Genomic DNA, 13644 nt, shown 5'->3' with positions numbered 1-13644 from the left:
GTAATCCCAGCTACTCGGGATGCTGAGGCAGGAGAATCTCTTGAACCTGGGAGGCGGAGGTTGCAGTGAGTCGAGATCGCGCCATTGCACTCCAGCCTAAGCAACAAAAGTGAAACTCCGTTTCAAAAAAAAAAAAAGAAAAAGAAAAGAAAAGAAAAGAAAAAAGAAATTGAAACCATGGATAAGGAGGACCTAATACACAATGTCATAATACTCAGTAAGAAAAAACATGACCCGCTGATAATGTAACAAAATGAATGAATTCAAAAACTATTATGTGGAGTAAAAGAAGCATGACATATAGTCTATATGAACGCCAAAAAGGAATCAGAAAGCATTTGTCAATGTCGGAGGAGGGTAGAGTTTGAGGTGGGGATTGAATTGAAAGAGGCACTAGGGAGCTTCTTGCAGAGATGAAAATGTTCTGTATCTTGATCAGGATGGTGATTACACAGATACGTACATTTATAAAAACTTGTCAAACTAAATATTTATCGTATATTTATTTTATTTTTTGTAACTGATACTTCCATTAAAATAAAAAAATTAATGAATATTTCTACTTTTTTCCTAAAGAGTTCCAAAGCATTTAACAAAAGTTCCATTTAGTCTCACAGTCTCACTACTCTTCAATTCACTCTTTTAAACTCATCGAAAGTTATTCAGAAGGCCTTTTGAAGCATCTTTTAAAAAAATCAATTCAATATTTCTAACTTCAATAAATGTGCTTTTTAAATATCTTTATTGAATTTTAGGGATGCATCAGGATTTTCTCTGTTCTTGGGTCTTAGTGATCTGACAATTTTTACATGAACCACTTCCTACACAAACACTTTAAAATGTCATTTCAAAAATCTCAGAGCAGTATGAAAAAGAAGCTAATGATAACCAATCCGGTAACAGCAGTTATAACAAAAGATGCTCATAGAAAATTTTCCCACTGAATCTGTTCTTCTCAACATGGTTGAAACCTTTTGATATTAAAGCAAATGATTGATTCAGTCAATAATAATAATTTTAACATTAAATGGCTTTTTACTAAAAGTCAGGTACTTCGCTAAACATTTTTGTATTTGTCCTTTCATGTAATTCTTCTAGTAAATCTATACATACTATTTTTCCTTCCATTCAACAGAAAACTGTCTTAGAGAAATTAAATAAGTTGTTAAAAATTACATAGCTAATCAGTTTCAGAGCAAGCACTAGAACTAAAGAGGGTCAACCTTCAATTCCTTGTGTTTAACTCCTGTGCTGTAATATTGCCCCAATTCAATTTAAATTCTTAATTCAGTAGAATAAAAAAAAAGAGAGTAGCTCAGTTATCTAGAGGCAGAGTAGTGTAGTCTTAAGAGTGTGGTCTCTGGAGCCAGATTGCCTGGGCACAAATTTCTGCTATATGACCTTGAGCAAGTTACCTAATCTCCTTCTGCCTCAATCTTCTAATCTACAAAACAGATGGTCAGGATAACTAAATGAATTAATACATGCAAAGCAATAAGAACTGTTCCTGACACACTGTAAGTCTATATAAATATTAGTTACTTTTTAAAAATCTGAATAGACTGAAGGAAAATTTGATTGAAAGAATTATCATTTGAATAGCTTCATTTATAAAAACTTCTCTCTGAATCTCATTGTTGTGTTCTTTGTGTGTGATGAGCTACAAGATTCTATATTCAACCTTAGTTCCTCTGTGAACCTTTGCTTAAGACTCAAAAAATTTCAGTGACATATCATCAGGTTGCTCTACTGCCTGTCCAATTCTATATTCCTTCTCTACCAAAACCCTCTTCTTTCTTTTATTCATAGCCATACTAGTGTACATATTTAATGACTGCAATTTGTTTATCCCATCTCTGCAATATACTATTCATTACTCACATAACCTTATACAAATTCCTCCTACTGCCTGGTGTCACAATTTCATTATCTGCAAAATGGGACCGTGTTTCTGATTCAACTCACAAGGTTATTGTGCACATTCCCTAAATTAATGAAGTAAAAGTGCTTCAAAAAGCAGAATGCCTCATGCAGTTCTCAAATTTCACAAGGGTATTTTGTAGTCAGTAAAAGCTATATGTTTGATTCCATCTCTGCAGGCTTTGTAGCCTTTTCTGGAAATGTGTCTGTGGGTGTGTCCCATCTCACTCTCTTTTATTCTTTCCCTCAAATGAATTAATGTACTAGAGAAACTTCAGAGACTTATTTTTCTTCTTTTAGAAGTATCTGTTTTGTAAAGAAACTACATTATAAAAGTATGCTATGCCAAAATAATGAGAGATAGTATATTGCGATTTCACATCTTCTGGCAATATAAGAAACTAAAGAAATGAAACATGCAAAGCATATTTCTTGGATGTCTAATTAGTAATTCATCTATTTTTGAGAGCTCATAAAACTAAGAATTGTATTTTGTTTTGTTTTCATGCATCACATCTTTCTCTCTCGTAATGGTGGTGGGTTTGCATGAAGACATTTATCACATTCTTTAGCTTAATGTCTCACAATCAGTGTGAATTCTATCAGGGATTGTGATGGAAGACACAACTATGGGCCAGAAAAGTGTACTCTAATTACTTCCATTGAAATATTACAGTCTCAAAAAATGTAAAAAAGATTGAGGACATCAAGTAGGTCAATGCTGACATGTCACCTTCTCAGGCAGTCATAATGCACTGTAGTGTATTTGAAGATTATTCATTCAATCATGGAATTTTTATTGACTTCCATATGTGAGGGAATTTTCTAGATTCTGGTGACATAGAAGTAAACAAAGCAGAGAGAAATTTCTGCTTTTGGTAAGTTCATAGTCTAACATGCACAGGAAACTTCCATTACACAAAAGAAACCTTATTTGACTTGGGTTAACTCAGTCTATCTCAAACCCTCATAAACTCTCCTCTTAGAAGAAAAATTAAAATATTAGTATCTCAGTGTTATTTGAAAGAGAATTTTAAAAATAGATGGTAGAAAAAACAGCTTTTTTGAATCTATGTCTTTTATCTGTTTAACATTTTCCTGAGCTAACAGCATTGTAAATGAGTATCATACCTGGCATATACTCAACCTGCATAGATTGCCTAATAGACATTCTACCTGGGCATTACACATTATGTTTGTGAATTTTGAGTCATCACATGACTTCCCAAAGGATCTCAAGTTGTTACATTTAAGATTAATGAGGCATTGGATATCCATTAAGAAGGTATTTAAGAATATGCATTTAATTAAAATGAATTATGTATATGAGGTAATGCCATTCAACCTTTTTAATTTAGAGAGATAAATCATGGCTATTTTACTCCTGAGAGGGGTCCTAACTTTGGCAAATTGAATATTGATGTTACAAGACCCAAATAATTAATTCTGGTCAGATTCATTCATAATAGGTATATCCTGAGACTTTGCCCACCAGAGAAAATTAATTCTTTCTTTTTCAGTTGACTATGTGTATGCACTTGCACATGTCATGAGCTAAAAAGAGTAGTGCAATGACATTTATACATAATCCCTGAATACAAAGCAACTGGTAACATCGGTTCTCAAGAAAATACTGACCAGCCACAGCCTTAACTTATTCGTCAGCATTAGTGACTCAGTATGAATGTTTTTTTTTAAACTCACACAGTATTCATATGCAACACACTTACCATTTATTGACTTAGTAAGGCTTCCAGCAGCATTTTTTTCTGCTCGAGGGAAATGATGCTGGTACTTTTAATTCTACCAGGTTGGCATTCAGAACTGTGTCATGCATCGAATGGGCACGGAAATACCCTGAAAGACAGAAATTACCTTGCTTTTTTTCTATGCCTTATGGTACCTCGTACCAGTAGGCATTCTATCTATTTATGATGAGTTTAGTTGAGCCAACACTTAGTGATTAAAATGTTCTAATACTTTACTTGGATTAAGTTATAAAATCCTTACAATAATCATATCAGTTAGCTATTACTATTATCCTATTTATATAGATAAGGAAACAGAGACTTAAGAGGTTAAAAAATGTTCTCAAGATCACAGAAATAGTATATGATAAAGCCTGGATTCAAACTGACAATCTGACTACCAAAGCTGCCTAAGGTTTTGCTGTTCTGGTGTGTTAATTGTATAATATCTCACAGTATTATGAGGTCGAAGGACCTCACACTCCATCTCTTTCGTTTGCTTCCTATCCATGCTCAAAGAACTTGGTAATTTCATAATCATCAATATCAGATTTATTCTGAATCACAATTTTCGGTTCTTTATGTTTTCTAATGAAATCTAATTACTTATAAGTACATATTCTTTGTCTAATAGTAATTAAATACGCCTAGACCTCTTGAATTAAGTTATTAAATCCTTACATTAAATCCTAAGCCTCTTGAAATATGTGTATGTATATACACATGGCATGCACAGTAATAACTCAAATATGAAGAAAGAGGTGAAACTTCATACAGCCTAATAGGTCTTCATAGAATTAGACCTTTTCTAACAAAAAAAAGAAGAAAAATAATATTTAATTAGAAGTTTCTTTTTAGAAATGAAAAGAACCTATTAGTTACCCAGGAGGAAGTAGTGAAATGTCAAGACTAATGTGATTACAGTTTCCCAAAAACATTTCATTTGTTTTTCAATCACAGCCATCACAACTGCAGCCATCTGACTACAAGCATAACAATAACCTTAAAAGGCTTATATCACATAGTTTGTGCTGTACTTGCACCAAGAGCTTCACAGCAGTTTAATCAATAAAACAGCACAAGCTGTGCACAATTATAATAAAACACCTTAAGAATGATCCACAATTAAAAGGTAGGGCGAAAAGAAGTCCTCAATTTAGATAAACCAATCTGCCACTCAGTTTGATAAAGTTCAGTTGAAGTGTTCTGACACTCTCATGGCACCTATCAGCAGAAAGCTCTCTAGCCTTGAATGTAAATTAACTCTTCAAGTTGTCCAAGAGTAAAGAATTATAGGCATCTACTTACACACACTGGAGTATTACTTGTATAATAACAAGAAAAACTTCCTATTGAAATTTCACATTGAAGTTTATCCCACAAAGAAATGTCTATATCAATTTTAACAAGTGCTTTGAAGTATATTTCTGAAACGTGACAACTCTTCGTTTGAATAAATGAAAATTGATAAACCAGCTTATAATTCATTTAACAATATATAGTGATCACCTCTAATTTGCTAGACAATAGGGATTAACAGCAAATAAGACTTGCTCACTACTCTCTCAGGGCTTGCATTTTTATGATGTCCTGTTCTATACTAGACTTGAAAAATGTGTTAGTGAGAAGAGAGGATGGTGGAGGGGCATATATACAGGTTAGTTTAGACAAAGAGAACACATGTGCAAAATATGGATACCCAAAACAGCCTTACCTTTGAGAATTGAAAGTAGTTTAGAGACAAAGGAGGCACAAAGAGAGAGTAGTGCTATTTAAGGATACTCACTATAAAGTTTTAAGACAACGAGTAATATGATTTGAATTTACAAGTTACAACTTAGAAATAATTCCCTGGATCCATTGACAAGAATAGATAAAAAGAAGCAAAACTGGAGAATATCACATTGTTTCAAAGTAGAAGCGTTGAAGTCTAACTTTCCACAGTAACCTCTGCTCTTGTGGGTGATCTAGACTTGGTAAAGAAGGTGGAATGAGAGTATGAAGACTATTTACAGGGTAGATCTCAAGATGGCACTTCTTCAATTTTTAGTCTTGACACTTGTTATCAGGTTCGTGAATTAAATAACATTTCCGTGGATATGTTTCTAAACATTGGTTAGTATATTTTTATACCATTCGTAAAGCATCTAGACATGGTCTTTCTCATTTTCATATTCCCTTAGTTGTTAACTGGGATACAGGGGTGGTGGTCATTCTAGGCTTATGAGTAATACCGAGAATGGAAATCTGCTATGGAAGCAGATGCACTAGAAGATAGTGATATTATGTGAAAATTTCATGGAGACTTGATGGGTAGAGAACATGTTATCTGTACATATGCAGCTGTGTCAGCATCAGTGAAAACCTAGTTGAGATCATTCATCTGGCTATAAGTCCTCAGAGTTAGTAGAAGATTTGTAATTTAGAGATGGGATGGTTGAAAGAGCAGCTTTCTACACTGTTACGCTACCTGAGGTCCAAGATCTGTGAAATAAGGCCAATGGAGTATGAGAAAACAGAGTACATGAATGACTTGCAAAGAAGTAGAATTAAACATTTGGAAATAATACAAAGGCTTAAATTTATTAGTTTACTGTTAATCTCCAAAAAAATGAAATATCACTCTTGCTGTGGGAAATGTAAGACTGGAAATAAAGAACATCATGAGACATTCAGTGGCATTTTCAACAGGCCTATCCTAACCCTGGCAGAAGATTCCTAGTTTGTAGTGCACTGGGAATGTGTCAGGTTGTTGTGCTGCTGTAACAGAATACCACTGGATAAGTAATTTGTAATGAACGGGAATTTATTTCTTACAGTTCTGGATGCTAGAAGGTCCTAGACTGAGTGTTCAGCATCTTGTGGGGACCTTCTTGCTACATCATCCCATGGCAGAAGGTGGAAGGGCAAGAGAGAATGACAGAGAAGAAGAGAGAGCTTTCCCTTTTATTAAAAAAAAACAAACAACGACAACAACAAAAACCCTCTCCTGAGATAATGGTATTAATCTATTCATGCAGATGGAGCCCTCTTGTTCTAATCAGCTCTCATTAGGCCCTACCTCCGAACACTGTTGCATTAGGGATTGTTTCCAGCACATGATTTTTGGGAGGACACATTTAAATCATAGCAGTTTAGTTATGTTGAGTAAAGCGCAGTTAAGCGCTGCTTTAAATTTTGTTGGCATTTTGAATCAGATGAAATGGTTTCCAGGAAGACCACATAACAAACCAGTGGTAAACAGATGAAATTTCATGGCCGGAAGATAAAGTCTATTCTTCTGTTTTACTTCCTATCACCCCCATCAAAATACTTTAAATATGATTAATCATTCTTGGCAGTCTGATGACCACACAAGTCTTAGATGATCAAAGCTAGAAATAGTTGATCGCAAAGTACTCAAGCCATAGAATTATAGTCTTGAAAAATTTTTAAGGTGTAGGCTTTGTAGTTCTGGCTGCCAAAATATAGCTGATGGAAAAATCAAAACTACCAATTCAAGGCCCTCACTTATGTTGGCCTCAGGCACTTTAAACTGTGATGGTCCCATAGTTGTATAGTAGGGCTAGGTATGTTTTATATCTCTTCATCAAAAATATTCTGGATCATCACCATTTCTGTTTTATTAACTAGATAACTTCAGGTGAAATAATTTTCTTAGAAAAATAATTTTTGATAGCACAAACTCTAAATATCTGGACCTCCATTATAGGATGATTCTCATCTTAGAATTGGAGGCACAAATTTAAATGCAGCAAGAATGGGTCATATAGGAACAGATTAATAAAATGTTAAGATGCTTGAACATACATGGAGAAAGTAGAGAACTGGATAAAGAAAAATTACTTTCTAGGATGTATATAAAGGACAATACATGAATTATATGGGCTATCTGGAAAATTTAGGAAATAACTATACAAATTCAACTATTTTGAGTGTCTCCACTCCTGTACCACATCCAATCAAAATGGTATAGCTTTAAATTTGTCCACGACATGCAAGCTATTAAACACATATCTCCTCAGGATCACTTATACGTGTTTTGCAGGACATGCTAGACAGACTAGAATAATGATTATATGAGGTCAAAGGAATAATAATAATAGTATCTCTGTCAGAGAGTTAAATGAGGCAATGCATTTTACAAGGTCTTAGAATAGTGTCCAGGTATGGATAATAAAGACTCGAAATATTTTTATTGTTTGCTATCATATTCATTACATTGTTTTAGATTTTAGCTATGATTGGGAATGACTTAGAGTTGCAATGGCCTACTTGGCTTTAAAAAATTCTTCTTGGTTAACGCTTGGAGAATAATGTTTTAACTACTTTCACTCAATGTTTATATTGAGAGATAATTCATCTGTCTCTCATGTTTCCGCAGATCTTTTCAGCAGAAGATTTGACAGCTTTTGTTTCAGAATTCTTTTATAAGGATTTTCTATAGCAGACAGCCTCAAAAGAGGATAGGAATAGTGTCTCCTGGTTCAGAGAGATTTTTTTTGCTGTGAAGAAAATTAACATATTTAACCCCAAAATTTGGCTCTGTGGTATAATGAATATTTTATATTAAAAACCCTTAGAAATCAACAAGCACTAGAAGGGACCTGTCCCCTACCTACCTAAAGATAGGACTGACACACCAAGGAGAACAATAGTTCTTACTCTGCCCCCACACTGCCCACACCCGCCATTATCTCATTATCCATTACAGGAAAGAAAACCAAGAATGTAACCATATCTGAAGATACCCTTTTTCAAGACAATGTCTGTCTCCAAGGATGATTTAAGGAACATTTAAATTAAAAAAAAAACAAAACTATTTACATGTTAATTTCTGTTCCCCAATATAATCATTCTACCTAGTAATCCTTTATTGCCTCTCAATAGAATTCTTCTCCCCCTCCCATAACCTGCCTGACCAGGATTCAAGTCCTCATTCTTTCCGTACCCTCAAGATGGCATATGAGCTTCTGTGCCTCATTGAGATGTTGGGTCTTCATTCTGAAGGCTCCCGTGTATACACATTAAATAAATTGGTATGCCTTTTCTCCTATTAATGAATCTGCCTCATGTCAGTGATTTTCAACAAATCTTTCAAAGCCCTTGGCCCCCACAGCTCTCTAATATAAAAAAGGTCATATCTACAGGGAAAATAATGAACAGGTTTGCTTGCAGCTCCTTCCAAAGATTGGGGCTTACTTAGCTCAGAGTTCCCTGGCTATCATGCAAATCCGCTGCATGCACCACTTCTATCTGGCCATTTCACATTGCTCCCATGGGATTTAGGGGACAGGGGAAAATGATGCCAACATGCAGTTTATGCTGCCTACTGAGCTATGAGTAACAGGTTTTGTTTTGTTTTGTTTTGTTTTTTGTTGTTGTTTTGTTTTGTTTTAATCTCTGACCCAGGAGTCTAATGTCTTTTGCCAGAAACCACAAAACTGTGATGGGCTTTTTAACTTACAAGCAGGAAAAAACTCTTAAATCTTTCAAAGTTCTTGACAAAGTAGTTATTTTTTAATGGCATAACAGAAAAGACATCTCAGTTAATTTGTGAGAAAATTTTCAAAATATCTCCAGTTTCAGGGATATGCATAGTTTTAATTCAATTTGTTGTATAAGGACCACATCACTACTATGGCATAATTAACTAATTTGTGGCAAAAGAAGAGGAGAAGGAGAGTACAGTTAGATTAAGATATTTTCAAATTCCAGGGGGCCTGCTTATACGGTCTGGATATGAGATCTTCAAAAGAGACGCCAATGTAAGAAAATGTTCTCCACATGAATTTATTATCTCTACCACCCACATGACTGCCCAAGTTTTTATGCTGTACTGCTATCTACCAGATTTTATCTAGAGTATATTCATAGACTGAACCTTTTTCTTTTCACTGCTTAAATTTAATGTTTTCAATTGCCTGTTTCCGTATATCCTCATAGTCTTTTCCAAACTACATTTTCACTTCTTAGATGATGTTTTAGAGTTTCAACCATTCAAGTGGCCAACAAAAACTGACTAAATCCATATACAGTAGCAATCATGTGGTGCTACTATAACTTTAAATAAAAATGATCAAGTGAATAATGAGAAAATTTTATCTGTTCATTAACTTATTTTCTTTCTTTTTGAGATGAAGTCGTGCTCTGTCCCCCATGCTGGAGTATAGTGACACAATCTCGGCTCACTGCAACCTCCACCTCCCCAGTTCAAGCGATTCTCCAACCTCAGCCTCCCGAACAGCTGCAGACTACAGGCACACACCACCATGCCTAGCTAATTTTTGTATTTTTAGTAAAGACAGGGTTTCACTGTGTGGCCAGGCTGGTCTCAAACTCCTGACCTCAGGTGATCCACCCACCTCGGCCTCCCAAAGTGTTGGGATTACAGGAGTCAGCCACCGTGCCTGGCCAGCTCATTAACTTCTAATGATATTTTAAATTTAGAACTACCCTACAATTAATTAGATAGAATTATTGAAATAATATGATCTATGAACTTAAACTACACTTACCGAGTAGTCCTCCCATCTGCAGTTTTGCAATGCAAGAATGGAATAATACCCTAAGGATTATATTGCAACATTTTATTTGCCACATTGAATGCTAATAGTAAACATCTTATTTTTTGGTATATCATTCTAACTAGAGATGAATTATTTATACATATTTTATTGTGAATATAATGTACACATATATATTAATAAATAATTTTTGAAACTTTATTTTCAATTTATATACAATAAATTTACTCTTTGTAATATAAAGTTATGTGAGTTTTGAAAAATACAGTCATTCATTTATCACCACAGTTAAGATAGAGAATATTTCATTTGTCTATTCATTCACCAACTGAAGAACATTTCCAGTTTTCAGTGACTATTGTCAGATACAGTAAGTTCTGCTTCAAAGTTTTAATTTCTGACTTCCTTGTTCTTTGTTCTCGAGATCAACTTCCTTGTCCCTTCTCCTAAGCTACCTGCTCTGTAAACAACTTCTCCTGCCAGTCCCAATCTGTAACTCATGTCTCTTCCTTATTTGGAAAGGTTCCTCTTTACTCCTGGCTACCCATTCTGTAAACTGCCCCTACCGCCGAAAGAGCTCTTCCCCTGAAACCACCCTTCCCACCTTTGCCATGCCCTGACATGCCCAAACATGCCTTGTACCATAATGGACAGCCTCTCCCTTCTTGCCTAATTAGCCATATTCAATTTTAAACAGTAGCCAATAGGGTCAGTTTAGATTGTGCGGTCCAACTCCAGCCAATGGGGACAGACACAGAAGCAGGGACTAACAGCATTGGGAATAAAAAGCCCTCCTTTGTTCGATGTGCTCTCGCAGTGGCCAAAAGTGTGAGCAAAACCCTTCCACAGAAGTAAATTTGCCTTGCTGAGAAATCCTTCATTTGAGTGCTCGTTTTCCTCGCGACTCTGAGCTCTTGTTTCTAACATTATGAATAGGTATGCTATAAATATTAATGTATACGTTATAATGTGAACATAAATTTTTATTCTCTTGGGCAAATATATAGGAGTGAGATAGCTGGGTCATAAGACAAGTACATTTAACTTACAAAAAACTTCCAAATTCTTGTATCATTTTGTATTCCCACAGGTAAAGTATGAGAGTTCCAATACTCCACATTGCAATGAGCATTCCATATTGTAAGTTAATTTTTTTGTTTTTGTTTTTGATGTTCTAATATTTGTGTAATGGTATATCATTCTGAGTTTAATTTTTATTTTCATAAGAACTAATAGTTTTGTGCACTTTTACATATGCTTTCTTGCCAACTCTATGCTTTCTTGATGGAATGCCTACTCAAATTTATGGCCCATTTCTCAGGGGATGGAGGTTGTTTGATTTCTCATTGTTGACTTTCAAAATTTCCTATATATTCTGATATATATCCTTTAGCAGGTATATGATTTGAAAATATTTTCTCCTAATACATGGCTTATGTTTTTTTTTCTTTCACAGTATATTTTATGGAGCAAAATTGTTTATTTTGATAGGTTTATCAGATTTTTTCTTTTTTTATTGATTGTGCTTTTGATGTCTTATCCAAGAATTCTTTCTGCCTAACACAATATAACAAAGGCTGTCTCCTATGTCTTTTTCTAGAAGTTTTATAATTTTAACATTTAGAGCTATGTTAATTTTTATATAAGTTGAAAAGTATGGGTTAAATTTCATTTTTATTGCACATGGACATGCAATTTTTCTGCACAATTTGTTTAAAAAATTACTCTTCTCTCTCCATAATTACCCTTTTTACCATTATTCTAAAAGTTTACTATATTAATTTGAGTCTATTTCTGAAAGCTCTATTCCATTTCATTAACCTATGAATCTATCATTTCATCAATAGCACAATGTCTTGATTGCTATTGCATTTTTAATTTTTAAATCAGGTAGTTTCAATAATTTAACTTTATTCTTATTTGTTAAATGTTTTTGGCTGTTCTATTTCCTTTGCCTCCCTGTATAAATTTTAAAATCAGTCTTTCAGTATTTACAATAAAATCATGCTGAGATTTTGATTAGAATTTCATTGACATCATAACAATATTGAGTCTCCAGTTCATGAACACATTAAATCTATTTATTTAGGTATTCATTCTTTGTACTCTTTAATCAATGCTTTGTAGTTTTTAGAACACAGATTTTGCACATGTTTTGTTAAATTTATATCTAAATATTTTCTTATTAGTGGTATTATAAATGGTAGTTTTTTTAATTCCAAAGTTATTGATAGTATATAGAAATAAAATATCGATCTTGTGTAATATCTTAGTTTGTTTTGTGCTGTTATGAAAGAATACCACAGACTCAGTAATTTGTAATTAATAGAAATTTATTGGCACATAGTTCTGATGGCCTAGAAGCCCAAGATTGAGGGGTCACTGTCCAGAAAAAGCCTTCTTGCTGTGTCATCTTATCATGGAAGGGCAAAGAGAGAGTGAGAGAGAACAAAAAGCAACACAGCTTCTTTTTTTATAAGGAACTCACTCTTGTAATAATAACCCCCCCTTTTGCAATAATGTCATTAATTTGCTCATGATGACAGAGCCCTCATATCCCATTTATCTCTTAACAGTTCTACCTCTTAATAATGTTACAATGACAAATCAATTTTAACATGAGTTTGGGTGGAGACAAACATCCAAACTGTAGCATATAAAATGACATGGCTAAACTGACTAATTAATTATAGGTTTTTTGTAGATTTGGGGAGGGAGATTCATTTTATTGGTAGACAAACTTTAGCTAGGACTAATGAGTTTCATTTCTTTCCTTCTAACTTGGGTAATTTCTGCTGACCCGTCTTCAAGTTTACTGATTTTTTTTTTCTTTGACGTGTCAAGTGTTCTGATAAGCCTGTTAAATACATTCCTTATCTCTGTTACTCTGGTATTCACTTCTAGCATGTACATCTGATTCTTCTATAGTTTCTATCATCCTGATGAAATTATCTATCTTATATTGCATGTTGTTCATATTTTTTTCAATGTAGCCTTCTATATATTAATCATGCATACTTTGAATTTCCTCTCTAATAGCTTCTGATAGTTTGAGTATCAGTGTCATATTTCTTTGTCTTTTAATAGTGTTTTTTTCTGTCTTTTCTGTATGACTCATAATTTTTTATTTAAAGCCAGACAATTTGTACAGGACAATAGATACTGACGTAAGTAGCTTTTATGGCTAGAAATGGGTATGCCTTGTCCTATTTTAGAAATTTAGTGCATGAATTTGGGTCAATCTAGTCACTAATTGATCAGTGTTGAGATTTGTCATTGCTATTTTTATTCTCAGTGCACTGTAACTTCAAAGTCCTCTAGTGTCATCATGTCTTTAGAGTAGGGGTTGGTTCACAGAGAGGTTTCCTCCAGTATCTATTTTACCTTCATCCTAAATCATCCTTTTACATTGCACCTAATAAAGGATCTCTCTGTGCTCTTTTATCTCT

At 34.1% G+C, this 13644-nt stretch overlaps 1 long non-coding RNA gene across 2 annotated transcripts in view; it reads right to left on the bottom strand.

Annotated features, from left to right (window-relative positions):
• The window catches only part of LOC105369838 (uncharacterized), a 122994-nt gene that overhangs the window by 56743 nt on the left and 52607 nt on the right, over positions 1–13644 (bottom strand). For both annotated transcript variants that reach the window (XR_945088.2, XR_945089.2), the window contains one exon: positions 3651–3777. This is a non-coding gene — a long non-coding RNA (uncharacterized LOC105369838). The remainder of the gene's footprint in view (positions 1–3650; positions 3778–13644) is intronic.

Source organism: Homo sapiens, chromosome 12, assembly GCF_000001405.40.
Source record: "Homo sapiens chromosome 12, GRCh38.p14 Primary Assembly".
NCBI lineage: Eukaryota > Metazoa > Chordata > Mammalia > Primates > Hominidae > Homo > Homo sapiens.
The sequence above is the reverse complement of the archived record's forward strand: the minus strand, read 5'-3'. Positions and strand labels throughout refer to the sequence as shown.